The 18,391-nt window shown below is 40.9% G+C and overlaps 1 protein-coding gene and 2 pseudogenes across 11 annotated transcripts in view; all 3 read right to left on the reverse strand.

Moving 5' to 3' along the window:
• The window catches only part of PARD3 (par-3 family cell polarity regulator), a 705,736-nt gene that overhangs the window by 550,785 nt on the left and 136,560 nt on the right, over window positions 1–18,391 (reverse strand). The window lies entirely within an intron of this gene.
• Window positions 3,532–3,756, reverse strand: RPL37P18 (ribosomal protein L37 pseudogene 18; annotated as a pseudogene).
• On the reverse strand, window positions 15,268–15,783 carry RPS12P16 (ribosomal protein S12 pseudogene 16; annotated as a pseudogene).

The raw sequence follows: 18,391 nt of genomic DNA on the forward strand, positions 1-18,391 counted from the left end.
TCTAGATAAATACTTACATTATCTATGCTTATTTTTCTCTAAAAAGGGGCAATTTAAAAGTTAGAATAAAATTTTAGTACATAAAGAACATCTTTAACACAGGGGTATTTTCAAAGGAGCTTACACAGATGTATGTCACTGTGCACGGGGCTGCACTACACACCTGGGTTTAAGGGAGCCTCGGAGGGCATGGCCATGTACACAGCAGCCCTCATCACACGGATGCTGAAATGCACAGCAAAACCGGGCAAATAGCCATGCATTTCAGAATAAAGTGTATCTGTCATCCGCTCACTGACCTGAATGCACACCAACGCATGTGTGAATGGACAATTCTCAGGGTTAGAAAGTGTAAGTTCAGCAACCACTAGGCATCCTTTTGGCTGAAGTTGCCAACACCAGATTCCATCAGTACCAAATAGGATAGCAATTCCTGCACAGCAAGAATGCAAGGAACTAAGGCACAAAACAGAAGCTATGCTTGGCTGTTTCCAGACTGGAAAATTATTTTAAAACATCACACAGAAATATTGTGTTTCATTATAATTTTTTAAATTTTTTTTGGTTGTGTGCCAATTTATCCCTAATACTCAATACTACCACTGAGAAGCTGAATCTACTGACATAATGAAATAGTAATGTAAATAAATGTTACTTTTTTAAAAATAGAATTGACAACATTCTTTTCTTTTGCACATTAAATTCACTTTTTACATGGGGCAGAAACACTCAGATTATGACTAATGGGACTGGTGGAGATAGTTTGAGGATTCTGTGTAACAGAGCGGTTTTCAGCTTTTGACATAACATAGCCCTTCAGAGCATCATGGGAATCTCAGTTTTTTAAAAAAGTCATTTTTAATTGAAGCTATAATCACTCTACTTGAGAAACAAGGAACAAAACGATGCATTTCTTGTACCCAATGTGCTGACAAAGCTAACTCATCTATAATTAATAAAGGAACAGTTTATTATGAAACAATACAGAGTTTCAAAAATGCTAAAAGAAATGTACAAATAAAGTACCTCGGGACATTTATACAGTGCAAATGTCAAACTTTTGTATTGATCATGCCTGATTAGGGTCCTTTTCCCCAAATTTGATGAAAGAACATGAATTGGCTAACCACCACTCTGATGGCCTGATGGGTTAATCAATACAAAGCAACCTGGGAGGGGAAAAACGGGCAAATCTATTTTCTACGGAGGTTAGAAAAAGCAAGTTAGAGCTATTAGTAGAGCCGGATGTTTTATTGCATAGAATAAAGGGGGAAGAAGCAAGAATGAACATGACCTATTTATTCATCTGCAGCAAAAATTGGGCCTGGCTATGGTCCATCCATCATCTGGCCTTCATCCAGATTCAATGGTCTATAATTAAAGAATCACAAAGATCAGAATTGTTATCAAATGTTGGGCAAAACAGCTGTCAAAGGAGGGACCGCCCAGACAGTAAATGAGATAAGAGGCTCTGACTTTGAGACAAGCCCTTCAGTGTGGAAGGTGGGGCATTTTATCCAATCAATGTTAGATAAAGGTTCCCAATCATGGAGTAGTGCAGCAGTCCAAGAAAGAGGCAGATTTCTACCTTGAAAGCCCCACTGGAAAGAAGGTCCTGCAGCCAGATCCTGCATGTAAGCACCCTGGGGAGATGGTTAAATTCTGCTCCTTTGACCTGCAGGCCTAACCGTGAAGGCTACTACTGGGCAGGGAGCTACTTAAGACAACTGCTCGGCTGACATCTCGGAGTGCCTAAAATGAACTTCTGGCCCTTTCATCAGTATTCCTCATTCTCAAAATGTTCCCTTTCCCCAACATCACCCATCATCAGAAAAATGCAAATCAAAACTACAATGAGATATCATCTCACCACAGTTAAAATGGCTTTTACCCAAAAGACAGGTAATAACAAAGGCTGGCAAGGATGTGGAGAAAAAGAAAACCTCATACACTGTTGGTAGGAATGTAAATTAGTACAACCACAATAGAAAACCATTTGGAGGTTCCTTAAAAACTAAAAATAGAGCTATCACATGATCCAGCAATCACACTGCTGGGTATATAACCTAAAGAAAGGAAATCAGTACATCAAAGAGGTATCTGCACTCCTATGTTCATTGCAGCACTATTCACAATAGCCAAGATTTGGAAGCAAACTAAGTTTCCATCAACAGATGAATGAATAAAGAAAATCTGGTACATACACACAATGGAGTACTATTCAGCCATAAAAAAGAATGAGATCAGCCAGGTGCGATGGCTCGCACCTGTAATCCCAGCACTTTGGGAGGCAGAGGTGAGAGGATCACTTGAACCAGGAGTTTGAGACCAGCCTGGCCAACATGGTGAAACCCCATCTCTACTAAAAATACAAAAATTAGCCCAGCGTGGTATTAGATGCCTGTAATTCCAGCTACTCGGGAGGCTGGGGCAAGAGAATCCCTTGAACCTGGGAGACCAATGTTGCAGTGAGGTGAGATAGTGCCACTGCACTCCAGCCTGGGTGACAGTGAGAAACTGTCTCAGAAAAAAAAAAAAAAAGAATCAAACTGAAGATCATCATCTTAAGTGAAACAAGCCAGGCACAGAAAGACAAACATTGCATGTTCTCACTCATTTGTGGGAGCTAAAAATTAAAACAACTGAAATCATGGAAATAGAGAGTAGATGATGGTTACCAGAGGCTGGGAAGGGTGTGGGGCTGGGAGCAGGGGAGTGGAGTTAATGAGTACAAAAATACAGTTAGAAAGAATGAATAAGAACTAATATTTCCTAGCAGAGCAGGGTGACTATAGGCAACAATAATTTCATTGTACATTTAAAATAACTAAAAGAGGCCAGGTGCAGAGGCTCATGCCTGTAATCCTAGCACTTTGGGAGGGCCAGGGCGGGTAGATTGCCTGAGCTCAGGAGTTCAAGACCAGCCCGGGCAACATGGCAAAGCCCCATCTCTACTAAAAATACAAAAAAAATAGCCAGGCGTAGTAGTGCATGCCTGTAATCTTAGCTACTCGGGAGGCTGAGGCAGGAGAATTGCTTGAACTCGGGAGGCGGAGATTGCAGTGAGAGGAGATCGCACCATTGCACTCCAGCCTGGGCAACAGAGCTTTGTAACACGAAGGATAAATGCTTGGGGTAGATATCCCACTTAATCTCATGTGGTTATTAGTCATCACATGCCTGTACCGAAATATTTCTTATGCCCCATAAATATACACACCTAATACGTATCCACAAAAATAAAAAATTTTTAAAAAAAGTTCCTTCTCTACTTCCAAGCATCTGATTTTAGACGAAGATGGAGCTGACAGGCCCACTGAACACAGTGGGGTGGCACCCTGTTTATGCTTCAGAGGTTCCAGAAGTGTCAAACATTTTAAAGAAGCTGTGTCATTCTTCTATTCATCCACAAAACTTTTCATTTCCCCCTCAGTTTTTGTTATTCCCAAAGAATTCTTTAAAAGAAAAAAAAAAACAGAACATGTATTCCATGACCAATCACTGAAATTCTGAAGATGAGGTGCAGTAGCTGGCCCTTGGGTCTGGGTGCTGTCCTTCACGGAGCCCAGGCCTGAATCTGTAGTGTACAATGTTTAGGCGCCTCATTCAACCAGCCCTGGTGTTGCTTCGTCTTTTCGCCTTGGCACTCCAGTTCTGCCTTCTCTTGGCTTAGCAGGTTGGGGCCTCAGGGCCGCAGCAGCACAGGGAGTGTGTCCAGCTGCGATGTTTCCCTAAGGATGACACTCCCTTCCTCATCTCGCTTCTGCCGCCGAGACCAAAGAGACCAGAGGTGGGAGTTCTTTTTAATATATTTGGTTATGTCACTGTCTGAATCAATAGCAAAGGCAATCGAAAACCTTTTTCTTTTTTCTTTTGAGACAGAGTCTCGAACTGTTGCCCAGGCTGGAGTGCAGTAGCGTGATCTCGGCTCACTGCAACCTCCACCTCCCAGGTTCAAGCGATTCTCCTGCCTCAGCCTACCAAGTAGCTGGGATTACAGGTGTGCACCCCCAGGCCCGGCTCATTTTTGTATTTTTAGTAGAGGTGGGGTTTCACCATGTTGGTCAGGCTGGTCTCAAAATCCTGACCTTGTGATCCGCCCACCTCAGCCTCCCAAAGTGCTGGGATTATAGGCGTAAGCCACTGCACCTGGCCTTTTTTGAGAAGGTGTCTCCCTGTGTTGCCCGGGCTGGAGTGCGGTGGTATCTCAGCTCACAGCAGCCTCTGCCTCCCGGGTTCCAGAGATTCTCCTGCCTCAGCCTCCTGGGTAGCTGGGATTACAGGCATGTGCCACCACACCCAGCTAATTTTTGTATTTTTAGTAGAGACAGGGTTTCACCATGTTGGCCAGGCTGGTCTCGAACTCCTGACCTTAGGTAATCTGCCCACTTTGGCCTCCCAAAGTGCTGAGATTACAGACCTGAGCCACCATGCCTGGCCCAGAAACCTTTTTCTTAGTCAAATTAGCAATTGCTACAGTCTGTCACTTCAGACAAGGCTGTGAAGAGGTGTGTGCCGGACAGGTCTTAGCATGTAGAATGTTGAATCCCCTTCTCTGATTCACTTCTCTTCTATGATGGCTTACAGAGAATTTGTAGACAGTACAGAACTGCTTCCTGGTGTGCATGTGTGTGGTGTGTGTGAAGAGAGAGGGAGAGACAGAGACAGGGAGGGAAAGAGAGGGGGAGAGGGAGGGGGATCCTACTGAATAGAGGCAATATAAGTAAAACCACAATTACAAAGTTTTTTTTAAAATAAAAAAAATCTGCCTAACTTTTCATGCCTAATACAATCAAAGTTATTAATAATTAAGATTTCCAGAACGTGTTTATTAAAATAGTAATTCAAATAAGCTAGGGGATAATCATACTAAAAAAGAAATTCTAAGGCTGGGCGCACCTCATGCCTGTAATCCCAGCACTTTGGGAGGCCGAGGCAGGTGGATCACCTGAGGTCGGGAGTTCGAGACCAGCCTGACCAACATGGAGAAGCCCTGTATCTGCTGAAAAAAACAAACAAAAAAAAATAGCCAGGCGTGGTGGCACATGCCTGTAATCCCAGCTCCTCAGGAGGCTGAGGTAGGAGAATCACTTGAACCTGGGAGGTAGAGGTTGCAGTGAGCTGAGATTGTGCCGTTGCACTCCAGCCTGGGCAACAAGAGCAAAACTACATCACAAAAAAATTTTAAAAATTTTTAAAAAAAAGAAATTCTGGGCCTGGCACGGTGCTCACACCTGTAATCCCAACACTTTGGGATGGCGAGGCAGGCGGATCACGAGGTCAGGGGTTCCAGACCAGCCTGGCCAATATGGTGAAACCCCACCTCTACTAAAAATACAGAAATTAGCCTGGCATGGTGGCACGTGCCTATAGTTCCAGCTACTCAGGAGGCTGAAGCAGAAGAATCACTTGAACCCAGGAGGCGGAGGTTGCAGTGAGCCAAGACGGCGCCACTGCACTCCAGCCTGGGCTTTTTGAGACTTCGTCTCAATTAAAGAACAGAACAGAACAGAACAGAACAGAACAGAACAGAACAGAACAGAACAGAACAGAACAGAACAAAAAGAAAAGAAAAGAAAAGATTAGATTCTAGGCCAGGCGTTCACACCTATAATTCTAGCACCACGGGAGGCCAAGGCAAGGGGCTTACTTGAAGCCAGGAGTTTGAGATCAGCTTGACAACCAAGTGAGACCCTGACTCTACCAAAAAAAAAATTAAATTAAATTAGCCAGGCATGGTGGCATATGCCTGTAGTCCCAGCTACTTGGAAGGCTGAAGGCTGATGCGGGAGGATGGCTGAGCCCAGGAAGCTGCAGTAAGCCAGGATTACACCAGTGCACTCTAGCCTGGATGACAGAGCAAGATCTTATCAAAAAAAAAAAAGCCAATTCTCAAAGAAAAATCCCCATTTAAGTATAGAAGGTATATTACTGAACTCCGGCATGTACATATTCATACCATGCTGACTAATTACATGGCTGATCAAGCAGCCAGAAACTGATCCTGATTCCAATTACTATTGAGTTTCTTCATGATACAGAATAAAAATGTCTGAGAATCTCAAGTTCTCCATGCTCCTTGACAAAGCTTAGAAGTTAATTCAGTATTACCACTAGACTCTAGGTGGCACTCGAGGAATTGCTCAAGAAAACCCCGAGCACATTGCCAGATACTTAGGTCCACCCTTACTAACGTCCAGGAGTCCACAAAAGGATTCCTCATGTGTTGTACTTCTGCTTCTGGACTCCTTCGCCTCACCCTCAGCCCTCCAGGCAGGAAGAGAGGGACAGGGCAGGCACACCTAACATGGGATTGACAGTTCCAAAACCTGAAGCCTTCAGTTTTCAATCTGACCTTGTTTGGAGGACCTAATTTGGAAACCAGACCTTGATTTGCATACAGAACCTTCCACCTCACCTACCCCTCCCCCTAAAAAAAAAAAAAAAAAAAATATATATATATATATATATACACACACACACACACACACAAACATACATTTCAGACCTTTTAGAATATTTCAGATATATTCTAAACTTGGCTGGGCACAGTGAGTCATGCCTTGTAATCCCAGCACTTTGGGAGACCAGGGCGGGTGGATCACCTGAGGCCAGAAGTTTGGTATCAGCCTGGCCAACGTGGTGAAACCCTGTCTCTACTAGAAATACAAAAATTAGCCGACGTGGTGGCGCATGCCTATAATCCCAGCTACTCAGTAGGCTGAGACAGGAGAATCGCTTGAACACGGGAGGCGGAGGTTGCAGTGAGCTGAGATGACACCACTGCACTCCAGCCTGGCCAACATAGAACAGGTAGTGTATAACAAGATTATTGATACATAAGTTGAGAAATAGGTTAGAAAATCCAAGAACAAAATCCAAACATTAAAATGAACAAATCATCTGCAGCAAATCTAGATAGCTAGTAGGAGTGATCTTTCTGCTAAAGAAATGCCAATAGGTCAAAAATAAAAGTTTCATTTCTAAAGAAAGAACAGACCAAACCCCAAGTGTCATTCCACAAGGTTTCACAAAGCACATCTGTCAATGTCTAAAGCATCCCAGAGGCAGTGGTGGGGAGATCAATGGTGCCTTTCTCTGCAGTGGCATTTACCACGGTGTTACTGATAGTGCAGGAATTTAAGGCTACAAAATTGTCACCTATTCATCACTGAACCATAAAAACACAATGGGGAAAAAAGATATTTGATAGCCTTTGGCACTGAAAAATGCCTAATGATTTAAGATGATTTTGTTTCTAGCCATATTGGAAAAGTATTTGCTAGATGATTCTAAGCATTAAGGCATTCACATAGGGGTGATATCGGACAAACTCATCTTTCTAGTCCAGGCCAGTAAGACCAGCCCCAAAATTGACAGCCAGCTTGAATAGGCATGGCAAATTAAGCAGAATATAAATATCAGCCACTGAGGCTAATGTTTATTTTTAAATTCCACAAGAAACAAATAATATTGTGATGACATTATTAAGGATAACACATCATGCTAAGCTCCATTCTCCTCCGTGCAGCCTGAAGGAGAAACCATCTGCTGCTTTAATGTTCCAAAGTTACATAAAGGGGAATGAGAAGAAGGGATGTTCTTAAACTAGGGGAAGAGGAGGTGCAGTACACTAATGGTGCATGTCTCCTGCTCAGCCTTTAACTTCCTGCATGGAGTGAGGATGGATACGGATTGTCCTCAAGCGGCCTGAAATGGTCAAGGTGGAAAAATAAGCAAGACAGTAACTACCACGGGTTCGTAAATGCAAGAAAAAAACAGCTAAGCAACAAATAATTCCTCATCTGCAACAACTACAAATGAAAACCATCAAGACTCCAGGACTATGTGCCGAGACAAGCCTCTTTTCTGGCAAATGTCTTGACCTTATCAAAAAAGCTCAGTAAATTTCTTGGCCTTATCAAAAAAGTTCTGTGGTTACTAGCATAAAAATACCTTCCTCTGGAGAACCCTTCTCTTTTCATTATAGTATTGTCTATCATGAGATTTTGTGGGTGCTCTCTACCTGATATAACCTGCTCAGTGCAACTGAATCATAGTCACTGCATCATATCAAAGTTTTGAACTAGGAGTCAGTCATCTATCACAGTTCACATCCATGTGAGTAGCTTCAAGAGAGTTCAAAATCCAGGAAGAGCAGAGAGAGGAAGATGAAAAACAGACGTCTCTCCTCCTCCAAACCTGGCTCTATAGCATTATTCTGACTCCCACAATATATATATTCAAACACAGGAAGAAGAAAACACTCCAAAGCCTTTTATCTTCAAAGATATATCTTATGGTACATATTTAATTTTCATTGATAAGCAAAAGAAGAAAAACTTGGCCAGGCACAGTGGCTCATGCCTATAATCACAGTACTTTTGGATGCTGCAGTGGGAAGATCGCTTGAGCCCAGGAGTTCAAGACCAGGCTGGGCAACATAGCAAAACCCCGTCTCTACTAAAAATTTTTAAAAGTTTGATTTTTTTTTTTAAGAGAAACTTATTTGCATAATAGGACCTTCTCAAAGCAAAGATAGATTGGGTATTAATTCATTTCCATTCCATTCATTCATTCATTCAACAAATGTTTACTGAATGCTTATGAGCATTGTTCTAGGACATGGGGATACAGCAGTGAACAGAACAGATTAAAACAGGTGGGAATGTAAATTAGTACAAACTCTATGAAAAACAGCATGGAGATTTCCCAAAGAACTAAAATTACAACTACCATTTGATCCAGCAATCCCACTACTAGGTATCTACCCAAAGGAAAAGAAGTCATTATATCAAAAAGATACCTGCACTCATATATGTATCTCAGCACTAGTCACAATAGCAAAGATAGGGAATCAACCTAAGTGTCCAACAACAGATGACTAGATAAAAGAAAATGTGGTATACAGACACAATAGAATACTATTCAGCCATAAAAAAGAATGAAATCATGTCTTGCAGCAATATTGATGGAACTGGAGGCCATTATCCAAAGTGAAACAACTCAGAAAGTCAAATACCACACGTTCTCACTTATAAATGGGAGCTAAATAATGTATACACACGGACACAGAGTGTGGAATGATAGACGGTGGAGACTCAGGAGGATGGGAGGGGGTGAAGGATGGGAAAGTACTTAATGGGTACAGCAACATATTGAATGATGGTTAAAAGCCAAGAATTCACCACCACACAATATATCCATGTAACGAAACTGCACTTGTATTCCTTACGTTTACACAATTTTAAAAACATTAAAAAAAAACAGAAAAAATTACCTTACCTACTAACAAAATTATGCACCGTAAGAGAGAAGCAGGTGATAATTTGCTTGCAACAAATGAAAAGGAACTGGACCCTTCTCACAAAATACTGATTTTCACATAATTTAATGACTTGATGTTCTGAGTATCTGCATTAAAATGTGATTTAAAAAAAAATTTAAGGTATCTGACACCTCACATGGTCCTCTAACATAGGTACAAAAACATATTCCAAAAGGATGTATTTAAAATTTGGCTTTCAATCCTATGATAAAAGTAAAATTCTACTAGGAAGAATAAAAATATAGTACTCTTTGACAAAGCTACACCTATGTGTCTAAAAGATTTATAGTGAAAAGGTCATTCAAAGTTAGATAACCAGAAAATGGCTAACACGAACAAAGTCACAGGTTATGTTAGCAGGGCTGAGAGATTCTTTATTAGTAACCAGGTTAAAGACTTGTATATTGACTTTTTAATTTTGACCCCAAAGCAGGTGGCTTATCCGTGCTCTTATCACGTATAAAGACCATCTCTCTGGCCTGGGAATCTGAGCAGCATTTGGCGGCTAGCCTCCCAACTCCATGCACACGCACCTCTGTGCAGCTGCAGGTGCTTCCTCAGAACTTGAGAAGCCTCAAAACACAAGGGACGCCTTCACGAAAGCTGACACCAATACCAGCCAGCGCGTGCACACCGGCTCGCCAGGCCGCCGCTGGCTCTCAGGCAGGTGATCTGCACCACTATGCTTCTGATTTCTTACTGGGGTGAGCACAGGGCATATGCTCAAATGCCACTGGCTTCTTTCTCAAATCTGTCACTAAACAGTTCTATTATCTTCATATCGCCTGGTGCTCTAGACTTCAGTTTCTTCACCTGGCAATGTTTAGGCTGGATTCACTTTGGGACCTTTGCGGGAGGAAGTGAGGGTACCTGACTAGCCCCAACCCCATCCCACTACCACTGGAGATTCTGATTCAGCGAGTCCTGAGTGGTTTCTGGGCATCTATGGGGTGGGATGTATGAGTGTGTGCATGTTTTAGAGTATCTATAAGCACCTAGTGAAACCATGGTTAAGAAATCCTACACTAAATGACAAAGTCAAATCAAGCTGTAAGAATTCAGGGTCCAATCCAATTCCATCCGTGAACAGTTGCAATCCCTTCCCTTGATCAAAGAACTTTGTTGTTGGTTTTGTTTATGCTTTCAATCTTGTTTTTAAGACACAAACAGGGAAGGAACTTGGATCATCATCAACCTGAAGTTGTGTGTACCTGAACCTCCCAGAAAAGACAAGAATACATTTCTACCTCCTCATTTTACAACTGATTACTTCAGCAACACATCGGCGGCCATCAAGTTTTACTAAATTGAGACCAGACCAACTCCAGAGTCATCGGACAGAGGCAGATGAGGTAGCATCTGGCTAGAGAGATGGCGGGCACCTGTCAATGGCTGCTCTTGCAAAAGTTACTGAGACTCGCAGTAAGAATTACAGCCTTCAAATCAAAAGAAATAAGCGTTTAGGCTGCAACACACAGCATAAGACAGTTGCTGTGGGACTTTGCCTGTGAATATAATTTCTGTTGCAATGTCATGGTTCCAATGGAAGTGGAGAAGCATTATAAAGAAATAGTTAACTGCTTTCTGCTTTTAAGAAACAGGTTTGAGTCAGGTAACCCAAATATATCGATAGATATTCTAACGATATAAAATGTTGATTTTGGTAGGGAAAAATAAAGTGATGCACGCAAGTCAAACTTTCCCATTAAATAGGATGCATTTAAAACCTCCTTCCTCAAGTAACACATTCATCTAGGCCACAACGTTGAAATCTTAATTTTAAAAAAACTTTAAAATTCTTTGGCATTTCATATTAAAACATAGTGGTAAAAAAACTAAGAAATCTTATATGCATCACAGCAATGAATACAATCTTTCAAACTGCAGAAGAAAATTAAAATCAAGAAAAATACCAAGGAGTTGCTATCACCATACAAGGCTACAAGATAAATTTAAACATCAAGAAAAGCAGAAACTGAAAGGGGTAAAATGCTTGCCAAAATAAGATTATATGTATTTCCACATCAGGGAGAATTCTTTTCACAGTTAATGTAAGTTGTTCTATCTATCGCAAAGATCAGCATTAACTGTACAATCTGTACTTCTGCAAGAATTCAGAAGTAGCACTCCTAAGGTAAAAAAGAAGTAGGTCATGAATTACAAAAACATGCTTTACAGTTTTAAAGATATAACTCTAGATTTACATATCACAAAAAACTGGGTTTAGTTACATATGATTTTTATTCAAAAGGATAACCTTGGAGGCCAAGGTGTGAGGATTGCTGGAGGACAGGCATTCAAGATCAGCCTGGGCAACATAGGGAGACCCCATCTGTACAAAAAGTGAAAAATTAGCCAGGTATGATGGTGCATGCCTGTCAGCTACTGGGAGACTGAGGCAGAAGGATCACCCGAGCCCAGGAGTTCGAGGCTGCAGTGAGCCATGATGACGCTACTACACTCCAGCCTGGGTGACAGAGGAGGATTCTGTTTTTTCAAAAAAGAATAACCTCTCTCCCTTTCACGACTGCCATTAGTATTTATGCATAATTTTCATCTTTCTCACCCACAATTAAGATCGAGTACAACCCTGAAAACTTTTAAAGCACAAATTAACATAAATTACAGTGCAGCTGGTTCACAACCCAAAAAGGTAAACAAAAAATTTACCACCAGCTGAGCACCCACTCATTCTAACCAAGCAGCTACAGGTTCCCAGGCAGCATGCTCCATTCATTCTGATCTTACAGAAACAGCTCCTCGCTGTGATCATGTAATCATGTAACTAACAGTTCTCAATATGTACCGTGTTTCCTAACTTTAACTGCATTATATCCACTTTGTATTAATAAACACATGAACGGCCCAGTGCATTGGCTCATGCCTGTAATCCCAGCACTTTGAGAGGCCAAGGCAGGAGGACTGCTCGAGGTCAGGAGTTCGAGGTTCCAGTGAGCTATGATCACACTACTGAGCTCTGGCCTGGGCAACAGAGCGAGGCCCTATTTCTAAAAACACATAACCAGTATGCTCCTTGTAGAAGAACTGTTGCCTTTCAGGAAATATGTATTAATCCTCTAACTATATGATCTACATTTTTTTCTTCAAAATAAGCAATGGTTCCATGTTGATCCTCCTGTACTTTGACATCTGTTGCCTGCTTTACTTAGTAGTATGAAGTGGCAAAAATTCTATCTGGAGTAAGGGATGTGGAATACGGGTAAAACTTAAAGACCTTGTCTTGCTTGATTCTTTCTTGATTGAACTGTATTCAGCAGTCTTTTTTGTTGTTAATACCTCTAGGATGATAAATTCCATCCTCTCTCTGACCTATATGTACTTCATTTCTCTTGAACATCTAGGGCTTCAGTGATCTAAACGATTCTATTCTTAAATCCAACCTTATCTCAGCATAGTTTAAACTTGGCTTCCATTTCTGGAAAAAAAAAATCTTCATGGAGATCCGGGAAGCACCGGAAGAATTAATGCTCAACACACTGCATGATATTTCCTTAAAAATAACTAAGGAGAACCTGCTTCAATCCAAATCAGGAATCTCTCTATCTAGGGAGAGCATGATTTTGGGAGAAAGCTTATTTGCCACAGATTAAACTAAAGATAGCAAAAACTTAAGGTGTTTTTTGTTTTTCATTTTAAACTAATATCTTGAGTACTGTGATATGCACATTTTTACCTAGTTACATAAAGCTAAACTTAATTATTTCAAAAATTATAAGCTATCCTCGAAAATATGAATTGTATTTAAGTTTTGGAACCTCTCATTACTTGTGGTTGGTAAAGGAAGCCAGAACACACAATTTGCACAACACAAGAGTAACAAGAAATCAAGTTCCAGAATATTTTCATATTTACACAGGAAAGCAATGTCACAAACTTATCAAGAACACATTACTCCTTTAGGGCTGGGGTGACATTAGTAGCCAACACCACCTTTTCTGCTACGATTAGGAAACTAGTAATGAAGACAATCAACACAATACAAGTATCCACACATATATATTCTGTTTTCTATTTAGGAATCAAAGTTATTCTCTCTACTACAAACAAGAGACAGAGAAGAAAAGATATCGAGACAGACAGACAGACAGGAAATTGAGACCAGTCTGGGCAACATGGTGAAACCCCATCTCTACTAAAAATACAAAAATTAGCCAGGCATAGTGAAGCATGCCTGTGATCCCAGCTATGTGGGAGGCTGAAGACTCACTTGAACCCGGGAGGGAGAGGCTGCAGTGAGCCAAGATCGTGCCACTGCACTCCAGCATGGAAGACAGAGCGAGAGTCTGCATCAAAAAAAAAAAAACAAACAAACAGGAGGAGAGTTCTAATTCCCAACTTGTTACATATTCTTAGCAAGTAGTTTTCTAACACAGCACTTAGCCAGAACATAGGTATGTTTTAATATTTTTTGATGAACAGTTCTGTACTCAAAATTATCCTGGTTATATCTGTATTTCTTCGTTAACAAGAAGTAGCACTGTCTATTGTACAAAGAACGACTGTATAAAAAGCACCTCTCCACAAGACATCCCCACCAGCTCGACAGTTTAACACTGCCACAGCAACACCTGAAAGTTACCACCTTTTTCTAGAAAGATCAGAATAACCTGCCCCTTAATTTGCATTAATTAAAAGTGGGTATAAACATGACTGTAGAACTGCCCCTGAGCTGCCACCCTGCGCTCACTGCCTAGCGGGTAGCCCTGCTCTGCGGGAGCAGCCACAGAGCTGTAACACTACAGCCTCAATACAGCTGTTTTCTTCTACCACCTGCACGCTCTTGATTTTTTTTTTTTTTTTTTTTTTTTTTGAGGCAAAGTTTCTCTCTGTTGCCCAGGCTGGAGTGCAGTGGCACAATCTCGGCTCACTGCAACCTCCGTCTCCCGGGTTCAAGCGATTCTCCTGCCTCAGGCTCCCAAGTAGCTGGGATTACAGACGCCTGCCACCATGCCCAGCTAATTTTCGTATTTTTAGTAGAGACAGGGTTTCACCACGTTGGCCAGGCTGGTCTCGAACTCCTGACCTAAGGTGATCCACCTGTCTCGGCCTCCCAAAGTGCTGGGATTACAGGCGTGAGCCACCGTGCCCAGCCCTCACTCTTGAATTCTTTCCTGAGCAAAGCCAAGAACCTTCCCGGTCTAAGCCCAATTTTGGGGCTTACCTGCCCTGCATCAATTTAACTATAATTCTACTGCAAGCCAATTTAAGTAGGACACAGAAAACTATAAAACAACACACCTTACTATGTTGTCTTCACACATGTATATGCACGTAATAGATATTATAAATCTCTAGATTGCTTAAATATAAAATCCACCCAATTTGCTTTGCTTCTTACCTTTTCTATCAAGGGGATTCACAATTACCTCAAGGCCTTACAAGATCAAGGCAGTATTATTTTGAGTTGTGTCTTCTATTAATACTTCCTTGAAAAGGAAGTCTTTTTTAACAGGTAACCTATAATTTATATCTCTAATTTACAGCTTTTAAAGCTTTTTTGTTGAATTTTGTAAAATCATCTAACTTTCTGAGTTAGCATCATTGTTTTTCTGCTGTTAAGCAACTTTGTCAGATTGTATCATTCTGATGGACTTCTACATCTTGGTTGTTATTTTCTCCATAATCAAAACCTAGAAGTCAGTATACAGATTCAGATATATAGATAATAATAACCTAGGTGTCAAAGAAGATGATTGAAGTCCATGAACCCAGTCATACAGACATCTGGATGCATGAATTTCAACCATTTACTTCAAAAACCATGTTCTGCTTTTGCTGAGGCAGAAATTTCAATCATCTATGCTATAAACTGAACCTCTCACCCAGTGAGCTCAGAAAACTCCCCAATATGATATTTCAGCTTCTCTTTTTTATTCCATTTAATACAATACCCCAACTTTTTTTTTTTTTTTGAGGAATGTGAACCAAAGTTTTATTAGTTCATTTCTTGCATTTAAAGTGCTCTTCAATGACATCCTTGGCCTGAGATTCCTTATAACTTCCATAGTCCTTAACTATTACACAACTTCAACCAACCTTTCTACAGGGTCTTCCCTCTGTCAGTATTACAGAGGCCCACCCATTCCCTAGTTTCTTGTTTTCATCAACCTTAATTAGGCTAATCTGGTGTTCAGCACATGGGCCTCCACCAACTTCACACACACACACACGCGCTCATCACAGTTGGATACAGGCACACAAAGATGGGCTTGGTACTTGTCTAAGGCTCTGGCGGCTCCGCGAATCTCATGTGCTGGGCCATCATGGACGAGAGTGGTCTTCAGCACCGCTTGTAAAGCAGTGTTAACAACCATCACACCGCCAGCAGCAATGCCCTCCTCAGCCACCAAGGCAGGCCACAGGTAACGAGTGATGCCCCATCTTGAACGCACCCAAGCCTCCGCCTCCATAACTCAACAGCAGCAGGGAAAAAGCATGGTCTCAATTCTCTTGACAAATCTCAGAGGTATTATACTCTTATTCCAACTACATCTCCCTCCCCAAAGAAGCGCACACAAAACAATTTTAAAACTTATGTTTTCTACGGAAACCTTACCTCAAAGTGATGCACAAAACTGAAATTTATATGGCTGCTTAAATGTCACATCCTGGCTCCTAGCAGGGAAACAAAACGCTCTGAAGAGAGGATGGTTCCTGCTTGAGGGGGAAAAAGTCTGTCTTTCTTAGCAGTGCTCCTTCCCACAATAAACAAATGATCCAGGAATTTTGTACAAGAAGTCTACCTGATTCTTCGTCTACCCGCAATGTCCCCATCCACACACATCCCCCAAAAGGCCACATCTCATCTTTAAGATGAAAAGTAATTCCATTTTACCTGCCAGCTTAGAACTTAATAATTTAAAGGCATGTTTACAAGGGCAGAACATCATCATTATCATCACTACCACTGGAACGACACGCAATTAGAAGTCGTTTAGGGAAGGAAGTTAGAAATGCTCGGCGGAATTTAATTAGACAAATTAGGTTTTGGCAGAGATCTCTAGGTCAACACCCTACTTCTATAAACAATATTATGGAATTCTTAATGACAATACAAGGCACTCATTCTTAAATTCTCAACTGGCAAATACCAACACTTAGGCCACCACCCTCAGGTTCAAGCAGTTTTAAACTATGATTTTTCGAAAGGGAAGAGAAAAGATTCTGCCAACAGAATCAGCAACAATACTTTTAGGCAGTCTCTGAATTTCCTCATTCATTTCTGGTATTACTTTCTGCATAGTCTACACAGAAAGTTTAATGTCTTAAAAACAGGTTTTATTCTGTGTCTTTACTCAAATTACATTAATTTGAAGAAAATATCACATCGAAGAAAATCAGGTTTGCTGAAAATTCTTTACCAACAAACATCCAATATGGTGGCAGTTTCTGCGGAAGGAAGTATGTTACATATAAAATAGAGATTTGGAATGTCTTGGACTTGATTTATTTTCAGTATTTCAGTGTTGTCCAATAAGGAAAATATAAGAAAGATGATTAAACTGGCCAGGCACAGTGACTCACACCTATAATCCCAGAACTTTGGGAGGCTGAGGCAGGAGGACTGCTTGAGGCCATGAGTTTGCAACCAGCCTGGGCAACATAGTGAGACCCCCACATCTACAAAAAAATAAAATTAACAGGGTGTAGTAGCACATGCCTGTGGTCTCAGCTACTTGAGAGGCTGAGGTGGGAGGACTGCTTCAGCCCAGGAGATTGAGACTACCAAGAGCTGTGATCATGCCACTGCACTCCAGCCTGGGCAACAGATCTAGACTCTGTCTCAAAAAAAAAAAAAAGAAAAGAAACTAAAACTGCAAGATTTAGCAGACATATGAGGACCAAAATAAGTGTAGAATTGATGACATATTAAGTGTCCATTCTATAAACCATTAAGAGATATTCCCAAAACACACATCATTCATAAACTGGCCAGAATCAGTATCACACATTTGAGCTGAATTTGTATGAAGAGGGAAACAGTTCTGAAGCACCTATCTGTAATGCTGCAAGGCACCACTCTTCTCCGGGCAGGGGGACACAGATACCATGACTAACTCTCAATGGTTTCACAGCTCGAAAATCACCGTTCTAATGAAAGACCACCGGAGGGCACACATAACCCATGGCACTCATCCAAAAGTAAAAATAAAAAAAGCACATTTTATGTGCAGGGTAATCTTTACTTTTTATCTGTTATTGCTGTTTGGTAATTACAAACTAGCTCCAAAAATATCAACATTAAGAAAAGGAATCTTTATAACACTGTTAAAAGATCCACTATATATTGATTGTATAGCCTAAACTTACAGTCATATATCCAGTAGCTTCAAAGAATTCTTTTTAAAAAATGTTTTTTTAATTTATTTATTTATTTATTTAATTTATTTATTTATTGAGACAGGGTCTCACTCAGTCACCAAGGCTGGAATGCAGTGGTGCAATCTCGGCTCACTGCAGCCTCAACCTCCCCAGGCTCAGGTGATTCTCCCACCTCGGCCTCCAGAGTGGCTGGGCCTATAGGTGTGCACCACCATGCCTGGCTATTTTTGTATTTTTTGTAGAGACGGGGTTTCACCATGTTGCCCAGGCTGGTCTCAAACTTCTAGGTTCAAGTGATCCACCTCCTTTGGCCATTCAAAGTGCTGGGATTACAAGCATATACCACTGTGCCTGGCCCAAAGTATTTTTCAGAAAAAAATATTTTTAATTCTGAACAATGTACAGAACTGTGAAATTGGAGAAACACTAATTTGCTTTTATTCCATTATTTTGTTATACATAAAAATCAACTAATCCTTTTTAGTGAGATGTTTGGGTAACATCAGGGTCTCCATTAAAAACATGTTTTAGTAAGAGATTCCATACGAGTAATAAGGATCTGCTAATATCACAACTTGTTAGTATTGCAGCATACAGTAATTTAAACCCTTGCAATAAGTGAATAAACATAAACACTAATAAATAATAAGCATTCACAAATGAATTGATAGCACAGAAAATATCAGTATGATTTTGAAAACAAAAATGTTCAAAAATTAA

This window comes from Homo sapiens, chromosome 10 (genome assembly GCF_000001405.40).
Source record: "Homo sapiens chromosome 10, GRCh38.p14 Primary Assembly".
Classification (NCBI taxonomy): Eukaryota; Metazoa; Chordata; class Mammalia; order Primates; family Hominidae; genus Homo; species Homo sapiens.